Here is a 21,172-nt window from a genome sequence, read left to right as displayed (position 1 = left end):
TTGTCAATTTTTGTTTTTGTTGCAATTGCTTTCGGAGACCTCATATGAAATTTTTGCCAAGGCCTAGAATAGTATTTCTAGAATATAATTTCCTAGGTTTTCTTCTAAGATTTTTATAGATTTAGGTCTTACGTTTAAGTCTTTTAATCCATCTTGAGTTGACAAATGTTGACTATCAATGGTTGTAGGTGTGCAGCATGATTACTAGGTTTCTCTAGCTTCTTTCATTGGTTTATGTGTCTGTTTTTGTCCCAGTACCATGAAGTTTTAGTTACTGCAGTCTTGCAGTTTAATTTGAAGTCAGGTACTGTGATGACTCTGGCTTTGTCCTTTCTGCTTAGCATTGTTTTGCCTATTTGGGCTCTTTGTGGTTCCATATGAATTTTACAATATTTTTTTTTTCTAATTCTGTGAAAGATAATATTGGTAGTTTGACAGGAATATCACTGAATCTATAAATTGCTTCGGCCAGTATGACTGCCCCAAATTTTAACAATATTGATTTTTTTCCTATCTATGAACATGAAATGATTTTCCATATATTTGTTTCATCTCTGATTTATTTCAGCTGTGTTTTATAATTCTCATTATAGAGATCTTTCACCTCCCTGGTTAGCTGTATTCCTAGGTATCTTATTCTTTCTGTGGCTACTGTGAATGGGATTGTGTTCCTGATTTGGGTCTCAGTTTGGACATTATTGGTATATAGAAAGGCAACTGATTTTTGTGCACTGATTTTCTGTCTAGAACTTTGCTGAAGTTGTTTATCAGATCAAGGAGCTTTTAGGCAGAGTCTATGGGGTTTTCTAGGTATACAATGACATCATCTGCAAACAGAAATAGTTTGACTTTCTCTCTTTCTATTTGGAGCTCTAGAATTTCCAGTACTATGTTGAATAGGAGTGGTGGAAGTGGGCATCCTTGTCTTGTTCCAGTTCTCAAGGGGAGTGCTTCCAGCTTTTCCTGTTCAGTATGATGCAGGCTGAGGGTTTGACATAGATGGTTCTTATTATTTTGAAGTATGTTCCTTCAATTTCAAGTTGTTGAGGGTTTTTAACATGAAGCGATGTTGAATTTTACCAAAACCCTTTTTTGCATCTGTTGAGATGACCATGTGGTTTTTTGTCTTTAGTTCTTTTATGTGATGAATCACATTCATTGATTTGTGTATGGTGAACCAATTTTGCAACCTATGGCTAAAGCCTATTTGATTGGGTTGAATTAGCTCTTTGATGTGCTGCTGGATTCAATTTGCTAGTATTTTGTTGAAGATTTTTGTGTCTATGTTCATCAAGGATATTGGCCTGAAGTTTTCACTTTTGGTTGTTCTATCTCTGTCAGGTTTTGGTATCAGAATGATGCTGGCGTTATAGAATGATTGAGGGAGGAGTCCCTCCTCCTCGATTTTTGGAAGCTATTTAGTACGATTGGTACCAGCAAGTCTTATTACATCTGGTAGAATTCAGCTGGGAATCCATCTGGTCTATCCAGAACTTTTACTGGTTGGTAGGTTTTTTATAACTGATTCAATTTTGGAACTCATTATTGGTCTATTCAGGATTTTAATGTCTTCCTGCTTCAATCTTGTGAGGTTTTATGTTTCCAGGAATTTATTCATTTCTTCTAGGTTTTCTAATGTATGTCTGCAGTGCTGTTCATAAGAGTCGCTGAGGGTTTTTTGTATTGCTGTGGGGTTGGTGGTAATGTACCCTTTGTCATTTCAGAGTGTGTTTATTTGGTTCTCTTTGTTTGTTCTTTATTAATCTAGCTAGTAGTCTGACAATCTTATTTATTCTTGCAAAAAAAAACAGCTTTTGGTTTTAGTGATCTTTTGTATGGTTTTCATATCAGAATTTTGTTCAGTTCAGCTCTGATTTTAACTATTTATTTTCTTCTATCAACTTTGGAATTAGTTTGGTCTTGTTTTTCTAGTTCCTCTAGGTGTGATGTTAGGTTGTTGAGATTTTTCTAACTTACAGATGTAGGTGTTTGTCTCTACAAACATTTTTCTTAATACTGCTTTAGCTGTGTTCTCTGGTATGTTGTATCTGTTTTCATTAGTTTCAAAGGATTTTTTTTATTTCTGCCTTAATTTCATTCTTTACTCAAAAGTCATTCAGGAACAAGTTGTTTAATTTCCATGTAATTGCATGGTTTTGAGAGATCTTAGTATTGATTTATATTTTTATTGCACTGTGGTCTGAGAATGTGGTTGGTATGATGTCAGTTATTTTGAATTCTTTGAGAATTGCTTTATGAATGGGTGTGTAGTCAATCTTAGAGTATGTGTCATGTGCAGATGAGAAGAATGTTTATTCTGTTGTTGTTGGGTGAAATATTCTGTAGATGTCTCATAGGTCCATTTGGTCAAGTGTTGGGTCCCAAATATCTTTGTTGGTTTTCTGCTTTAGTGATCTCTCTAGAAATGTCAGTGGAGTGTTCAAGTCTCCCACTATTGTAGTTCTCTAATAACCTGTTTTATAAATCTGGGTGCTCCCTTATTGGGTGCATACATACTTAGAACTGTTAAGTCTTCTTGTTGAATTGAACCCTTTATCATTATGTAATGCCCTTTTTTTGTCCTTTTGAATCATTGTTGGTTTACAGTCTGTTTTTTCTGAAATAGAATAGCAACCTCTGCTTTATTTTGTTTTCCATTTGCTTGATAGAGCTTTCTCCATCCCTTTATTCTGAGCCTAAAGGTGTCACTGCATGTGAGATGGGACTCTGGAAAACAGCATAGAGTTGGGCCTTGCTCCTTCATCCAATTTGACACTCGGTGTCCTTTAAGTGGGGCATTTAGCCCACATAAATTCAAGATTAATACTGATATATAAGCATTTGATCTTGCCATCATGTTGTTACCTGGTTCTTATGTAGACTTGATAGTATAGTTGCTTTATAGTGTTAGCAGGCTATGTACTTAAAGGTGTCCTTGTAGAAGTAGGTAACAGTCTTTCATGCTTATCATTCCCTTAAGGACCTGTTGTAAGGCAGGACTGGTAGTAATAAACTCTCAGCATGAAATTATCTTTGTATTCTCTCTGCAGAAAATATTATGAAATTAGGTTGTACAGTTAGTTAATCAATGAATATGCTGCTAAAAATGTAAGAAAAAGTAATCAGGAATTTAATTCATAAGAGTGTTATTTTTCAAGATTTTTGTGATTTTTGAGGTATTTCATAGCTTTTATTAATGTGATTTTTGAGGTATTTCATAGCTTTTATTAATTTATAACATGTTGCATTTCCTCTGTCATTTAAAATAAATGTTCATTTGCCTACATAATTGTTATGAGCTGAGTCATGTCTCCCTTCAAATTAATATGTTGAAGTCCTAACCCCTAGTATATCAGATTGTGACTGTATTTGGAGAAAGGGCCTTTAAAGAGGCCATTAAGTTAAAATGAGAGCACTAGGGTGGACCTTAATCCAATACGACTGGAGTTGTCCTTATAAAAAGAGGGACTAGGACACAGAGAAGCAGAGGAAAGACCATGTGAGGACACAGAGAGAAGGTGGCCATTTTTATCCAAGGAGAAAGCTCTTAGAGGAAAGCAACCTTGTGAGTACCTTGATCTCAGACTTCTAGCCTCTAGAATTGTGAGGAAAAAAAAATCTGTAGTTTATGTCACTCAGTTTGTGGTACAGTTGTCCCTTCATATCTGCAGGGGATCAGTTCTAGGACTCCATGCAGATGCCAAACTCTATGGATGCTCAAATCCCTTATATATATGATATGCTATACACGTAACCTACACATATCCTCTTACATAGTTTAAATCATCTCTAGATTAGTTAAAATACCCAATACAATGTAAATGCTAGGTAAATACTTGTTATATTGTATTTTGAAATTTGTAGTATTTTCTAATATTTTATTGTTACTTGTTATTTTTTACAAACACTTTCCATTGGCAGTTGGTTGAATTCTGAATGCAGCCTACTTGAATATGAAGGCCTGACTGTATTTTGTTATAGCAGTCCTACCGAAATAATATAATACTTTTATGCATACAGAAGTTATTTCCACAGTGATAAGCTTCAAAGCTTCAGGTTTCATAAAATGTGAATATATCTTAACACACACACACACATACTTATAAATTAATCTCACTGCTCATTATTGAGAGTATTAACTAAAATAGGTAAGGCCCATTCGGTTTGTTAGAAATCCTTTATTTTTGCACATACATTTTTACAAATGCTTTCCATTTAACAGCCATTTACATCATAACTACCAAATGGTTAACAGACTTGAATCATTTAATCACAACATTTATTTGGCTTCTGAAATATGTGCAACCTTATCATCTATGGAGTCACTGTCTGCAGACACTTCTTGGATGGAATACTAAGTAATACCTAAATATTAGTCCAGGTCTCTTATTCAGTTTCCTGTTTAATGAATTTCATGTTTATCAATCTAAATGTTAAGCAACTGGAAATGGGCATTCTATAGGCAGAAAAGTTGGAAACTATGATTTCAAGTTCCACATATTTCATATTGTTGATTCTGTATATAAGGGACAAAGATTCAATGATCTATATAGTATGAAAAATTGGAAAACTGACTTGCCTTCTCCGAAATGTTTCATCATCTGTAAAAGAGGATGAATATGCATTATCTCATCATCTCAGTGAGTTCTTTTTTGAGGACCAAATTCACAATGGTTATAAAAATGTGTCCCATTAAAATGGTTTTACTGTTATTTTATCAAAGACAGTGATAAAGTATATATCAATGTATTATCTTAAATATCCCAATACCAGAGGTTTTATGGATTTTTGTTAAAGTCCTAATTATACTGTGAGGCCTTGGGTAGTCATTCTGTGGGTCTTAGTTTTCTTATGAATGGGCAAGATGGCATCTTTGAAAAGCAAAGGCAACATATTTATTTCATCTCTGAAGGTCTAAATATCAATGAATTTCCCATCATTGAACAAATATTTTGGGGTAGCTATTATGTTCTAGAAGAGTATTGACAAAGTTATGTCTTAATTTATAGGACATTTTTATGACTGAAATTAGATAACCCTTAAAATAGAAAACTAGACATCTGTCTTTAATAAGAAATGCTAACACTAAGAATAAAGGGATATAGAAACCTAAGACTTCCCTCACATGATAACATCTTGCTAAAGGAAATAGAAATCATGTGGTTAAAAAAGAAAAAAAAGGAAGAAGGAAAGAAGGAAGGAAGGGAGGAAAGAAGGAAGGAATGAAGGAAGGGAAAATATTTGCAATCTTATCTGTAGAGTCACTGTCTGCAGATTATTCTCAGCACACCAAAGAAGAGAGAAAGAGAGAGAAGGAAGGAAGGAAGGAAGGAAGGAAGGAAAAGGAAGGAAGGAGAAGGAGAAGGAGAAGGGAAGGGAAGGGAAAGGGAAAGGGAAAGGGAAAGGGAAAGGGAAAAGGAAGGAAGGGAAGGGAAGGAGGGAGGGAGGGGAAGGAAGGATATTTCTACTTGACTCCCTATTAATAGTCTGGTACTAGAACTCACAGAACTGCCACAGAAGGCTGAACAGTCCTGGGCTTTTCACATGATCAGGTTCGCACTTCCATGGTTCTCCCAAATATGGCTTTCTAAACAAACTTGGACTAGGCTCACTCACTTGGCATTTCTCCTGCAGGAATGCAACTCAATGTTCTATCCAAAGGTTTCAAGAACGACAGTTTTTGGATGTTTATTTAATCCTCTCTCAAGCCGTGTTTGTTTTGAATAAATGGCAAATGTGATTAGTAAATGGAACATTCATTTTGTTAGACTGCCTCTAAACTCCAGATATAAATGGGCTGGATTTTACAGCTTATTTTAACATTTCCTTTTTCCTATACCCTTTCTCTGATCAGCTCTTCAACGGTGATATAATTTCTTTTAATGCAAATGTACAAAACAATGTTAGTCCTGACTTTTGGCAAGCAGTTCACAAGTTTGGGTGAAAAGACATTGCTCTTGAAAAACAGGTCATTTTTAGTTTTGCTATGTCTTTCCTTCTCACTAGGACATATTGTGCTGATGCAGAACAATGGAGCTAAGGAGGTCTTTAGCTTGTCTTGCATCTATCAGAACTCAGCAGTACTTTCCTCTTTGAGGTTCAATGTTATTGGCTAAAATTTTTGATATTCTGCTTAATTCCACTCTATAGCCCACCAAATACACCCCTCGCCTTGCCGGTTGATTCATAGGTACTTGGCCAGGGCAGGCTAGAAGATGAAAAAGGAAGAGACGACCTGAAGCTCTGTATTAGAGAAACAACTAGGAGGATTGTCTGGCACACACCCGCCCAATGGCCTCATGTTAAGGAGCATCCTCAGCAGCTTAACATATATGTCCTGCTCAAGATAAAAGATAACTAGGTTTAAGACTTAAAGTTGAGTTGCTGCACAGCAGTGACAATTTGAGTTGCTGCACAGCAGTGACAATTTTTTAAAACATACTTTCGCAAGCAGGCAGTGTAGTATAATGGGTATAAACTTGAGGCATGCAGTCTTCAGCAAATAATTTTTTCCCTTTCTCAGTTTCTGACTCAGTAAAAAATCAAGATGTTTATAGTATCTTCAGCCGGGCACGGTGGCTCATGCCTGTAATCCCAGGACTTTGGGGGGCCAAGGCGGGTGGGCCACTTGAGGTTAGGAGTTCGAGACCTGCCTGGCCAACATAGTGAAACCCTGTCTCTATTAAAAATACAAAAATTAGCTGATTATGGTGGCGCATGCTTGTAATCCCACCTACTCTGGAGGCTGAGGCGGGAGAATCACCTGAACCTGGGAGGCGGAGGTTGAAGTGAGCTGAGATTGTGCCACTGCACCCTAGCCTGGGAGATAGAGTGACGCTCTCTTTCAAAAAAAAAAAAAAAAAGTATCTTCATAGACTTTTTGAGGCTATATGAACCAATGTCCATGAAGGCAACACATACAGGAAATAATAACTAATTGGGTGCTTCCTAGCATTTACACTTAAGAGCCACTCTTTAAGCCCTTATGTAATTTTTGTTTTAAATGATCTAGTCATCCATACAATCATGGGGGCAATGTCTATTTCCTTAAAAAGTGAAGATGTTAGCTCTCTCTTTTTTTTTTTTTTTTTTTTAAGATGGAGTCTCTCTCTGTCACCCAGGCTGGAGTGCAGTGGTGTGATCTGGGCTTACTGCAGCCTCCACCTCTCAGGTTCGAGCGATTCCCCTGCCTCAGCCTCCTGAGTAGCTGGAATTACAGGCATGCGCCACCACGCCTGGCTAATTTTTGTATTTTTAGTAGAGACAGGGTTTCACCATGTTGGTCAGGCTGGTATCGAACTCCTGACCTCATGATCTGCCTGCCTCGGTCTCCCAAAGTGCTGGGATTACAGGTGTGAGCCACTGTGCCTGGCCCAGCTCTCTTTTTCCAAAAAGTAATGTTTCACAATAATGAGAAACATCTATGAGTGGGTGGAGTCCAGCATCACCAATAATACATATCGATTTTGAGGACGAGCTGAGTTTTTGTTCATCATTGTATGTCCTTTGGCATCTGAAAATATATGCTAGGTATTTATTGAAATCAAAACTTAAAAAAAAGCAGTAATATAGTAACATTGCAAGTATAACAAAAACCACATATTTCCTCCACATTTTTTTCCCTAGAAATTACTATGAAACTAATATATGCTTGGCTGTGGTAATGCCATAAACAATCTGGCTAAATGACATATGTCCCAACTAGACAGAATTACGTTGTAAGCAGCTCATGTGCTACGTAAAAAGTCCTTGAAATGCCCCAATGTTAGTTCTGGAAAATGAGCCTATTAATGAACACGAAGAGAATACAGAGTATTGGGTAAGTCATGTCAAGGCACAGCTATAACTTGAAAAGGGGAGAAAGAGGAAAGTGAGGAAATATCAAGCTGATGACAAGAGTCCAGGTTAAGATGAGTGACACTGGTGTGAACATAAAGTCTGCAAAAACAGATACCATTATCTGCCTTTTACTGGTTGTATTGCCATCTGGGTGATGGCTGGATGAGACCAACAGAATCTCTAGCTGCTTAGAAGAATGCTCTTGTTAACCCAACTGATTTCATCATAGAAATAGAAATAGACAAAACTTTCATCTTTCACCTGTGCCCATGCCATCCCTGACTTTTAGAGCATTCAGTTTTTAACTGCTAAAATGCCATTAAAAAATAGTGGTGTAATCCCAGCCTGTAATCCCAGCACTTCGGGTGGCCAGAGTGGGTGGATCACCTGAGGTCAGGAGTTTGAGACCAGCCTGGCTAACAATGCGAAACCCCATCTCTACTAAACATACAAAAAGTAGCTGGGCGTGGTGGTGCATGCCTGTAATCCCAGCTACTCAGGAGGCTGAGGCAGGAGAATCACTTGAACCCAGAGGCGGAGGTTATAGTAAGCCAAGACTGCACCACTGCAATCCAGCCTGGGCGACAGAATGAGACCCCATCTCAAAATAAAATAAAATAAAATAAAATGGAGTCCATCTAAATGAATACTAATTTATCGGTTACACGCACTAGGATGTGAATGGTAGAAAGATGAAGAACATAGCTGGAAATGGTAGACTAGATTTAAAAAAATGTGGTACATATAAACTATGAAATACTGTGCAGTCAAAAAAAATCATGAAATCATGTCCTTTGCAGCAACATAGATGGAGCTAGAGGCCATAATCCTAAGCAAATTGATGCAGGGACAGAAAGCCAAATACCACATATTCTCACTTATGAGTGGGAGCTAAACACTGAGCACACATGGACATAAACTTGAGAATAACAGACACCACAGACTACCAGACGGGGAGGAAGGGAGAGGGCACAGTCTGAAAAATTACCTATTGGATACTATGCTTACCACCTGGGTCCAATTACCCATGTAGTAATCCCACACACGTATCCCCTGTATCTAAAATAAAAGCTGAAATTAAAAAAAAGAACATTTATAAAAGCACAGCTATTTAAGCCCACATAAACGACTCTTTTTTTTTTTGGAATAAAATTGCTTTTTTCAAAAAATTTAAGTTCTGGGGTACACGTGCAGAATGTGCAGGTTTCTTAACACAGGTATACACATGCCATGGTGGTTTTCTGCACCCATCAACCCAACAACTCTTGATAATAGGAACTCTATGTGGTTCCATGTCAATTCAGTAGGTGTTATTTCACTTGTTGGTTGACTCTTTCATTTATTCATGAGTGCCTGATACATGCAATGTACTATATTAGGCATACAGAAACAAAACTGAAACAGACATGGTTTCCACTCTTGAAGAACATGGATTTGTATTTGAGAGATAGACACATAATATGAATAAAATCAAATGCGGTGGGAGGTTGCAGAGAAAATGAGATCCTCATACCCTGCTGGTGGGAATGGAAAATGGGGTAGCCCCATTGGAAAGCATTTCAGCAGTTCCTCAAAATGTTGAACATTAAATTACCATGTGACTCAGCAATCCCACTTTTAGGTGTATACCCAAGAAAACTGAAAACATATGTCTACTCAAATATTGATAGAAGCATTATTTATAATAGCCAAAAGATAGAAAAACCTCAAATGTTCATCAATTGATGAAAATATAAATATAATGTGATGTATTCATACAATGGAATATTATTCAGCAATAAAAAGGAATACAGCAATCACATATGCTACAACATGAATGGAAATTGAAAATATTATACTAAGAATCCAGTAACAAAAGACTATATATAGTATTATTCCAAATGTCCAAAATTGTTAAATCTGTAGATACAGATATTAAATTCATGGTTACCTAGACTTAGAGGGTTTGGGGAAAAAGAAAAGTCACTGCTCATTGGTAGAGGATTTCTTCCTGGTGTAAAGAAATTGATTGTGATAATGATTGCACATATACTATATTTAAGAATACAGTAAAATATACTGTGAATATACTAAAAATAATTTAATTGTGTTAAATTAAATTAATTTAATCGCCATTTAATTTAAATGGGCGAATTATACTGTATGCAAATTATCTTAAAATGTTATTATATAAAAATACTGAATGAGGTGCATATTTTAGTGCATATTTTAGTAAATGAATGAAAAAATGCTATGAGAAAAAATCAGAGGAAAGATAAGCTAATAATATGTGGGAACTGGAAGAATGGTCAAACTTCTCCAAGAAGTTAATATTAGAGACAGATCTTGAAGTTTAAATAAGAGTTTACCAGGGTGGGAAAAAAAGGAGGGATATAGAACCTACTCTGCACATAGCATGTTAATTTTTGATTTTGATATTCTGTTCTTCCTTCCCTGAAAATTTCCACTTACTGTCACAACTTCTAATTTAAGATTCAGGATCTGCTGGACAAGAAATAATATTAAATAGTTCAGGGATGTTCAAGAACTTTTAATAAGAATCTAAATTTCATGACGTTCTTCCCATATTTTTGACCAGCAGTCAACAATGTTTTTCTGTAAAATGATATACAGAAAATGTTTTAATATCTGTAGGCCATACGGTCTCTGTTGCATCTTCTCAGCTCTGCTGTTATAGTGTGAGAGCAGCCATTGATAATATGGAATGAAGCGAGTATGGCTGTATTTCAAGCAAACATTATTTACAAAATCAGGTGGCAAGTGACATGTGGCCCACAGGCTGTTGTGTGCTGGGTCCTGCTTCATATTCTCTGGGCTGCCTTCCTGAACTCCTCTCCAGTTCCCATTTTTCTGCCCCTGCAGAGACCACCAGCCTCAGTTGTCTTCTAGTAGCTTACTTAACTAATATTTTGTGTGCTTTGGATGGGGTGGGTAGCAGGATTATAAAGCATGGTTTCTGTCCAGGCGTGGTGGCTCACACCTGTAATCCCAACACTTTGGGAGGCCAAGGTGAGTGGATCACCTGAGGTCAGGAGTTTGAGACCAACCTAGCCAACATGGTAAAACCCCGTCTCTACCAAAAATACAAAAATTAGCTGGGCCTGGTGGCAGATGCCTGTAATCCCAGCTACTTGGGAGGCTGAGGCAGGAGAATCACTTGAACCCGGGAGGCAGAGGTTGCAGTGAGCCCAGATTGCACCACTGCACTCCAGCCTGGGCGACAAGAGTGACACTCTGTCTCAAAGAAAAAGAAAAAAATAAAATAAAAAAGCATGGTTTCCTCTGGTAAAACCTACTAATATCATCTATAGTAAACTTATTCAGACTTATGTTAAAATTGCATTATGAACCACAAAAAATAAGTAACAGCTAACTGATAAATCCATAAATAAAACAACTACCACACTTACACCTTATCCTTCTTGTTTTACAATCATCTTTAAATGTGAATTTAAAAAAAGATGGTGTCATATTTGAGGAGGCATAAATATACCAAACACTTATAAAGACTGAATAACAAGGGACCTCTTACCTTGAATTCAGACTTAGGGTATGCACAGTTTCAGCTCCTTAACTCTTAATAGCAATGTTGACTGAATCTTGGGTTTCAAATAATGTTAAATATATGTTATGTCCCGGAAATACTACTCAGAAGTTTTAGTCTCTAAACTCTGCGCCAAAGGAATATTTTATGTTTGGACAACTCTACACAAAATAGAGCTAATATATACAAACACAGACAGCTACAAATGGAGGCAAGTTTCACAGAGTGGAAAGAACACTGGGCTGGCAGTGAGGCGACGTCAGTTCTTACCCTCCCTTAGGTATTCAGTATTGGTAGGATACTAAAGAAGTTGCCTCTGAACAACTTACAGAGTTTTTCTTATATGAGAGTGTTTCGTAAATTTTATAAGTGATTGAAAAAGAAGTTAAATGTTATTATCTCATATTTTCAAAATTTTGTTTTAAGGAAGCAACCTTCTGAAATAAACCAAACTGTATTATTTGAAGATCATTCTCTGAAGTCCAAAGATGAAACAGATCAAACACTGTATCATTTGTTAAGAGTACTTCTAAAAGTTGGGGTTGCTGTACTCCAGAAAAATCAAAGAACTAAGGTAACAAGTAAATCTTTGTATGTGGGACAATGGCACTTTTGATACTATAGTAGTAAAAATAGTGTCTTTCACTCTAAGACACTTCCTAACACTGTGTGTGCAAAACATTTCAAAGCTTTAATATTCACCAGAAATTATTTATCAATAATGGTTCAAATTTCTTTGTTTGGTGAAGAAGAGAATAACCATAGTCTCTTGTTGAAATTGGACAGTATGAGTGTTTGTAGCTGGCCAAGAAAGAAATGAGATTCCCAAAGGAATATATCAATATGTCAATAAGCAAAATAACTGCTTTGCTTAGAACTGAAGTAAAACAAAACAAAGAAAAAACACTGATAAATAGAATTTCTCTCACTCTGTAAACACAAAGAATTACATATTGCCAGAATTACCTGTTAAAATGATTTGCTGAACTTTCCAAAGGGATTTGAGACCTGGGGTATTTTTAAACAACCAAATCTATGAAAATGATTAGATAAGTAAAATAAATAAATAATATTCACAGACATTTCTTAGTATACCAGCACATCCATTCTGATGATAACTTTTAAAATCAGGATAGAGAGATTATGGACTGAGTCAAAATTACACAGAGCCCATGAACGAGTGTTTTCACAGGAGCAGCTGTGAGACAGAATAGGGAGCACCAGAATCGGAACCATTTTCTATTATTCAGTGGCCTTACAAAACTGATGATGGGGTTCTAAAGATAGGAAATAAGATCATCCTGACAATAGTTATTATTACACCTTTTAAAGGTCACTTACTTCTGACCTCCTCTGTCTTGAACTATCCTTAACCAATATAGAGAAGAACTGCAGAATAGAAGAGTTACATTTTGCATTCACATGAGGTCATTTACTAACCACATAACTCTGAAAGTCACTGTAACTCTTCAGGCCTCAGTTTTCTCATCTGTAAATGTAAGGGGTTAAGACTTATGATTCTGAAAATCGCTTCTATGTCTGATGGTTTACGTAGGCTAGCCTATGGAAGTGGAGAGGAAAGGTTCTTATTTTTTCCAACTTATTTCCTTTAAAGTTGTATCACGCTGTTTCTTTTTCAATCAGCAAGCAAATCTTTCAAACATAAAATGTTGATGAATAGGCTTATCCATAAAGGAAATAAACAATTGCATCAACAATTTTCAGATAAAATGATCAGGTAGAATTGCCTAAGAAGTCTTATTAAAGAAGCTAGTACAACTATTACATTTAACAAGTTATAGGATACAAAGGGAGTATATAAAAATCTATTGCTATTTCTATATGCTAATAACAAATGATTATAAACAAATTTTAAAATACCATTTACAATAGCATCCAATATTTGAAGTGCTTAAGGACAAGTTTACCAAAATATATGCAAAACTATGATATGTAGATGAGAGAAATTAGAGAAGACATACATAAATTAAGAGATAGGCCATCTTCATGGATTGAAAAACCCAGTATTGTTAACGTATCGGCTCTTTTCAAATTGATCTAAAGATTCAAGGTAATCTCCAAATCATAGCAGCCTATTTTGTGGACAACAACAAACTGATGCTAAAACGTATACGGAAATGAAAAAAAACCCATAGAAATGAAAAAGAGCCTGTACAGACAAGGCAATCCCAAGCAAAAAGAACAAAGCTGGAGGCATCATGCTACCTGACTTCAAACTATACTACAAGGCTACAGTAACCAAAACAACATGGTACTGGTATTGAAACAGACATATAGACCAATGAAACAGAACAGAGACCTCAGAAATTACACCACACATCTACAACCATCTGATCTTCGACAAACCTGACAAAAACAAGCAATGGGGAAAGGATTTCCTACTCAATAAATGGTGCTAGAAAAACTGGCTAGCTGTATGCAGAAAACTAAAACTGGACTACTTCCTTACACCTTATACAAAAATTAACTCAAGATGGATTAAATACTTAAATGTAAAACCCAAAAGCAAGCATAAAAACCCTAGGAGAAAACCTAGGCAGTACCATTCAGGACACAGGCATGGGCAACGGCTTCATGATGAAAACGCCAAAAGCAATTGCAACAAAAGCCAAAATTGACAAATGGGATGTAACTAAACTAAAGAGCTTTTGCAAAAGAAACTATCATCAGAGTGAATAGGCAACCTACAGAATGGGAGAAAATTTTTGCAATCTACCCATCTGACACAGGTCTAATATCGAGAATATACAAGGAACTTAAACAAATTTACAAGAGAAAAACAAACAACCTCATCAAAAAGTGGACAAAGGGTATGAGCAGCCACCTCCCAAAATAAGACATTTATGCGGTCAACAAACATATGAAAAAAAGTTCAACATCACTGATCATTAGAGGAATGCAAATCAAAACAACAATGAGATACCATCTCTCACACCAGTCAGAATGGCTATTATTAAAAAGTCAAGAAACAACAGATGCTGCTCTCTTTTTCTCTGGTCTTAAAAATGAGATGACATCTAGCAGGTTAAATGCATCCTTAAAGGAAAATGCACCTGAGCTGTACAATGTCTTAAACACTAATAGGGCCCTACAGAGTGTCTACCAAAATTCTTCAAAGTGAACACAATGTTCAATAAACCTCTGCTAAATAACTAAGCATATAGTTACTACATACATATGTTTCTAGAAACATAGGATATTCTCCTAAAACTTAGTCTAATATATGCTTGGATATAGGTTGATAGAAGACAGGAACACAAATGACTCCAGTACAGTAAAAGAGTGAAAACATCTAAAAGAGAGGGTGAAATAACACACAACTAGCTTTTAGGAAGAGGAGAAAACCTTATGGGAGAAATTAACACTGTAGCTGGATCTTAATGGGTCACTTTTAGATGTGTAGATTTTATTTGGGGAAGGACTGGGAAGAAGGAACTTGGTGAGCAAAGCCATAGAGGTGAGAATTAACTAAAAATGTAACATATCAGCTGGAATCCAGGATACTGGGGAGAGATAAAACTAGAAATCCAGTTTGGGATTTCAATGTATTCTGCAACTGGTTGGGAACTTATTAAGGTTTTTGCAAAAGGCAATTAATGATAAGGTACCATAGAAAGATTAATCTGGTATTACATGTAGGATGTATGGGTACAGAGATGACTGCCAGAGGAAACCCTAAGTAAGAGGCCATTTCAATGGTTCAAGTGAGAAATGGGGATGACTGAACTCCATATTAAGTACTTAGTGAAGGTAGAAAGAACCTCGGGACAAATTTTATGTGACTGATGGGGATGGGGAAGTATAGCTCTAAGGCACCAGGCCTGGGTGCCAGGCAGGGATTTAATGGGTGCTTCCCCTCCAACCGCTGATTTTATCCAAAGGCCATGGTGACTGCCTAAGCCCACTTTAATCTCTGCAGGTAACATGGGTCACAGTGGAGCCATGTACACTGGCGCTGATGAGGAGCTCCTGCCATCCAAAGCATGCCAACATTCAGTCACTTGCCACGGTCAAAGCATGGGAACAATCTTTAGAAGACCTGACTTGGAGCTGTGGCTGTCCGATGAATTTGACATATGACGTTAAGTGAGTGGCTCTCATCACTGGGCTTTTGAACCCTCATCAGAAAAAGAAAGACAAAGACCTCTACTTGGGCTTAATGATCATGGATTTTGTGAGCTCCACAAAGTGCTTTGGAAACTAAAAAGTCTGTACAAAGAGGAATTACTAATATTACAGTCACTGGCCTCAAGCAATATCTACCATTCTCATCTTCACATGTATTCTAGTGTTAGCTACTGACTTGAGGGATCTATCTGCATTCATTCCTCTGCCCACCCTAATCATCTCTTCCATTTTGTTTCTCTGATCCTAGAATTGAGACATAATTAACACAGGGATTACCATACGGATAACTCTCTCCAAATGCCAACAATTCTTTAGAGTGCAATCAATGTATATAACTTTCTCTTTTCAAAAATTAAAACAGGCTGGGCATGGTGGGATCACACCTGTAATCCCAGCACTTTGGGAGGTCGAGATGGGTAGATTACGTGAGGTCAGGAGTTTGAGACCAGCCTGGCCAACATGGTGAAACCCTGTCTCTACTAAAAATATAAAAAGTTAGCCAGGCGTGGTGGCGGGAGCCTGTAATCCCAGCTACTTGGTAGGCTGAGGCAGGAGAATCACTTGAACCCGGGAGGTGGAGGTTGCAGTGAGCCGAGATCACGTCATTGCACCCCAGCCTGGGTGACAGAATGGGACTCCCTCTCAAAAAATAAATAAATAAATAAATAAATAAATAAATAAATAAAATTAATTTAAATATTCTCATACTACTGGAATGTTCAAAGTGGTAGTGTATGAACATTCTCTGTTTCCTTAATCTTAACAGAAATTACAGATCTTAAAGTCCTTCAACACTGACCACAACAGTTCATTACCTCTACACTCTTCTCTGACCCATAAAATATGCCCCAAACTCGAAATCCAAATGAAAAGCAACAATCTGTTCTAATTCTGGAAAAGAAAAACTTTTAGATTTACTGAAAGATGGTTAGTTGACCTCCAAGGTCTCATCTTCCTGAAATATTTTCCAAGAAAATTTTAATAGTAGATGGTTTCAGAATTTAACATAACCTCTACACTAATTGGGACAAGATTCTCCAACTTCCCTGGAATGCACAGCCCCAGCACTTCTACACATTATGTAGCAAATACCTGTCCCTTTAATAGCTGAGGCTGACGGAGATGAGTTTTTATGATAATTGGAGGCTAAAGTTGCCTGGTCACTTTAGACTTGAGAGTTGTGACTAGCTTCCAGGTCCTAGCACTGGAACTTTCAAGCTGAGCCACCTTATCTAAATACTGGAGAAAACGTGGCTCCCAACTCACAGCGATATATATAGATATAGATATAGATATAGATATAGATATAGATATAGATATAGATATAGGTATAGATATAGATATATAAAATGCACAGGACACGAGTTCTGTGAACTACATGGCAAGATGTAGCTGACATTAGCTTTTATAAATCAGCAAAGAGAAGAGATTCCACTGCATCTTTAAGAGGATTTCCAGTGAGAAGAGAACATTTCTACCTTATAAAGACTTATTTATAACACTATTTTTCAAGGAACTCTGCTCAGATGGTATAGGAAATACAGTATGGCCCACTGTAGCATGCAAATTCACTGCTTAGCACATTATGGGAACATAAACATAATCATGATCCCCTAAGCCTTGCAGGTTCTCATTCTGCCTCTTTCCTTTCTTCATTTTTTCCTTTTCATTTTTTCTTTCCTTTCTCCTTTTCCCCATCCTGTCTCTCCTCTTTTTTACTATATCATATTCCTCTTTTTATACTATCCTGATATAGGAAAACTAAAGCAGCTCATCTCAAATATAAGGGAGATTTATTTATTTCATCTTTTAAACTTTTTCCTTAATGGGTTAAATGCCAAACTCCCCAGAAGCACTCAATGTAATAAAGTATAATTGTTTTCAGACATGAGGGTAAGTTTTCCATCAGTGACTAAAAAAAATTAAAAATAAATGAAAGCGAGTGGAAAGCTGAATAGTCTTCACTTGGCAATTATTCAGCCTTTGGAAATTTCCAAGCCTTTTGCAATCATTAATTAATTAGTAAAGATGGTGTTCTACTTTACTGAGGTTTGAAGCATGACATAAAGAGGTCTAGAGGTTTTCCTCAAACTGGAAGAGGAATGTCAAGGAAAGAACTGGGATAAGAATTCGGAGCTCATTTCTCATGCCCGTAGTCACATAATTAAGCCAAACAGTCAATATAAGGACAATAAGGTCCTCTGTGCACAGGTGCAGTAGAATACAGTAGTGTTTTGCTCAAAGGCCAACTGTGAAGGAACCCACCCTTTCATCAGCCAATGCCCTCACAACGCGCCCAGAATTTATCCATAACTTCATCAGCCTCTTCCCCCTTTCCCAAAGCACAGACAGGACAGATGGCTAAATATCAACCTCTAACCACTCTTAATAATCAGAGTGAAAAGTACATGGTTTGATTTTCATTTTTTCAATGCACAGCCGAATATGATGTGAAAACACATGAAACTGTTGAAAAACAAATATATCAAAAATTTTAAAAATAACATGAAATCTACTGATATCCAAAATCTGTAATCATCTAATAGATCATCTTGAATAACCACCTTGCTCAAATAAGAAGTAAAATAAAGTTCCATGTTTTCTGATGAGTGGTTTATAAAAATTCATTCCATCTCCCTGTGTCAGTTGGTGAGGACAGGCCAAATGTTAGGGATGTGGCTGGACCCAGCACTTTAGATCCAGTTCTAGCAGTGGGGGCTGATTCTTTTTCCTACACCAATGGATGGGTTCCAAATGCTGAAGAGAGGCTGGCCAGAGTGCCCAGTGACTTAGTGAGAAAACAACATCTGAAGACTAGCTCAGTACCTCTCACCAGGTGAGTCTCATCAAGACACATAGTTTTGCTTTCTCTCATGTCTGGTTCCTATGTGGGATAACACAATCCTCCAACAAGGCAGACACCATGTCATTCCTTCAGGAACATCACTCAGCCATCCTTTCAGTCACCCTGTTTTGGGCAGGGCTAAATTGTCTGTCTAGTTGAACTTAAACCTTGACAGCAGTTGTTCTGACCTAAAATTTTATTTTACTGTAATCTTCCCTGGGTAAATCTGTTGCAATTGTTGAAAACAAAAACTGTGGTTAAGTTGAATAATCTGTTTCTCTGAACTGGTTGTTTTGAAAATAGACTCCCCTTGACTGGGCCAGGAGGCACTGGTGCAAATATACTGCGACATTAACAAAGAGCAAGGCTGTCCAGATTGGCTATTATGGACAAATTCATTTTAAAAAGAAATAAAAAACTGTAATAACATTTCTTTTCATAGAGAGACTTAAGAAACTGAGTCATGTTTAAAATCATTTAAAATTCTAATTTGGAATCTATCTATCGGAAAGGGATCATGGCTGGCCAATTTCATATAGTGGTCACACATAAGGCTATAGGATTTCTCCAGCTCTTCACAGTCCCCACTGTCAGGAAGAGCTCTATTCCCCTATAGAATGTGAAATTCACATAGGACACCATTAATATGGCAGACGCTTTCATATAAGAAAAACAGTTTAGTAAATACCCTATAAGGAAATTTTTGATACAATGTTGAATATGTGAATAGATCTGTCTTGAAATGGACAATCTTGTAAAAATGTGGAAAGAATTTTTAAAAATACAGTCCAAACTTCTACCCAATCCATCCCCCAAAACTACCATTGAACTTCTAGCTAATTGAGGGCTCTCAAATTTCTGATTTCTCACAGTTCTAACTGAAAAGAAGCAAGGGCACTCTTCCAACCCAAGTGGCTGGAAACTGGCTCAGTTCCTCTATTTTCACCGATTCCAAGTTATTCTTATTGGTTCCTCTAGTCATAATGGGAGGAATCAACATCGTGTTGGTTCCAGTACTAATGAAAAATCCAAGTTGTGGTGAGTGGGCATGTGTAGTATTACACCTTACCTATTCAGACGAAGTAACAGAGAGTGTTAACTTAAAAGGTCCACATATGGACAATTAAATCAAATAAGAAGTAACTGTCACTCATAAGGAGTTTTTAAACATTGCTTAATAGTGCTAAAGGCTGAAGAATAAGATTCTTTCTGGAGGATTAGTAAAATGAATAAACAAGGGGTCACAAACAAGCTGCATTATACTGCAGCCCCTTCTCAAAGGAGAAACTGTCCAAGGCATTTGCATTATCTTAGACCTGCTTGGCCTCACCCATTTCCTGGGTCCTTGGCCACTTGTTCTGGCCCAGCAACCGCTGTGGTACCAACATTGCGGGAGTTATAATCGCCTTCACAGGGCCACAGCCTGACAGCAGTTCACTCAGTTTTGCCCTCCACATGTCTCACCCATAGATCACTACCCTTGCTGAGGCTTGAGATACTACAGACCTGTTTAATGTCCAAGCAAATGCAAGGTGTAGAGGAAGTTTCTGCACAACAGAGGGAAGCTTTAACCAATATAGGGAAGGATGTGAAAAATAAATTATTTTCTCTTTCTCCATCAGAACACTTTGTCCTCAGATGCTATGGTGTCTGTGGGCTTTGGAAGATGATTCTCTGAGATTGAGCAAGCAATTCCATTTGATACTAAACAGTGGCCATATTAGTAACATACTAAGTAGTCTCTCTCTCCTCTCTGGCTTCACTCATCCTTCCCTGGGATTGTATTTGTCAGTGAAATAAAAGTAACACACACACTTTTGCCTTAGGCTTCGCTTCCTGGGGAAGGCAGACTAAGATAGGCACCCCTGTATTCTCCTCCTTATGTTACTGAGTTTCTTACCTTTGGCTGCAATGGTGGCGCACAGGGGGCTGAAACAGGATCTGTGATATAGGTCTTCTTGGGACCAGTGACTGGATACATCCCAGGAGGGTTCTGGTTCCCTGCTCCAGGAGGAGTGTACCCTGGTTCCCGTTTCCAGGTATTTGGGTGACCTTGTTGACCATAGGTAGGGTCAGAGTCATTTCTGCCCCCATAGCCTGGCCCTGCTGCATAGTAGCCTTCATAATAGCGTCCCTGGTTGGGGGCATACCCATACCCAGGCTCCGGCTGAAGTCCTGGTGGTGGAATGTAGGCATAATCCATGCCTCCCCGTGTTGAAGGAGGTGGACACTGCCCAGAGACAGGAACTGGCTGAGTGTTATAGCCCTGGGGCCCTGAGCCATAAATTTGTCCTGATGAAGGGGCAGCCATATAATGAGGGCTGGGCTGGGCTGACTTCACCTGCACATTAAAGGTAGGCCTTGAAGAAGTGGAGGCCGTGGTGTAGGAGGCTGGGACTGGCTGAGGCTGGGGTTTGAGTGTTCCGATTGGAGCCACAGGGATGGGTCCAGCCTGGGGTGCAGGCTGTGGTTTCAATGTAGACTTCTTGGTTGCTGTTAGAGGGGGTTGGTTCGGGATGACCATTCTCTTGTGTCCTGTGACTGGGGTCGAAACTGGAGGAGAGGCTGTTGAACCAGTGGAGCTCTAAAAAGAATAGGAAAAAAAAGAAAGAAAGAAAGCAAAAATTACTGCCAACGAAACTCAATAAAAATGAATAAATGAAAAATATTAATAACTGCTAATTATTATTTATTACTATGTAGAACACAAATAAGGCATAATCTTGCCTTCAAAGTGTTCACAGATGAACACAAAAATCAGTTGTATATCTGTGCACTGCCGACGAATAGCAGAA

General features: G+C 37.6%; 1 protein-coding gene and 1 long non-coding RNA gene across 60 annotated transcripts in view; one reads left to right on the top strand and one right to left on the bottom strand.

Annotated features, from left to right (window-relative positions):
• Positions 1-21,172, bottom strand: part of LPP (LIM domain containing preferred translocation partner in lipoma) — a 737,651-nt gene that overhangs the window by 260,550 nt on the left and 455,929 nt on the right. For 51 of the 59 annotated variants that reach the window (NR_164692.1, XM_047448103.1, NM_001375457.1 and 48 more), the window contains one exon: positions 20,278-20,961. Coding sequence is in view for 58 of the 59 variants with exons in the window: in XM_047448103.1 (XP_047304059.1) it covers positions 20,278-20,961 (684 nt within the window). In the remaining variant the exon portion in view is untranslated. Of the gene's footprint in view, positions 1-17,179; positions 20,962-21,172 lie in introns of those variants that run through there. The other 8 variants (NM_001387682.1, NM_001387680.1, NM_001387683.1 and 5 more) reach the window with 2 other exon arrangements.
• LOC124906316 (uncharacterized) overlaps positions 1-21,172 on the top strand; it is a 40,949-nt gene that overhangs the window by 16,183 nt on the left and 3,594 nt on the right. Inside the window, exon 3 of the long non-coding RNA XR_007096213.1 lies at positions 11,810-11,957. This is a non-coding gene — a long non-coding RNA (uncharacterized LOC124906316). The remainder of the gene's footprint in view (positions 1-11,809; positions 11,958-21,172) is intronic.

The sequence above is a fragment of the Homo sapiens genome, chromosome 3 (genome assembly GCF_000001405.40).
Source record: "Homo sapiens chromosome 3, GRCh38.p14 Primary Assembly".
Classification (NCBI taxonomy): Eukaryota; Metazoa; Chordata; class Mammalia; order Primates; family Hominidae; genus Homo; species Homo sapiens.
The sequence above is the reverse complement of the archived record's forward strand: the minus strand, read 5'-3'. Positions and strand labels throughout refer to the sequence as shown.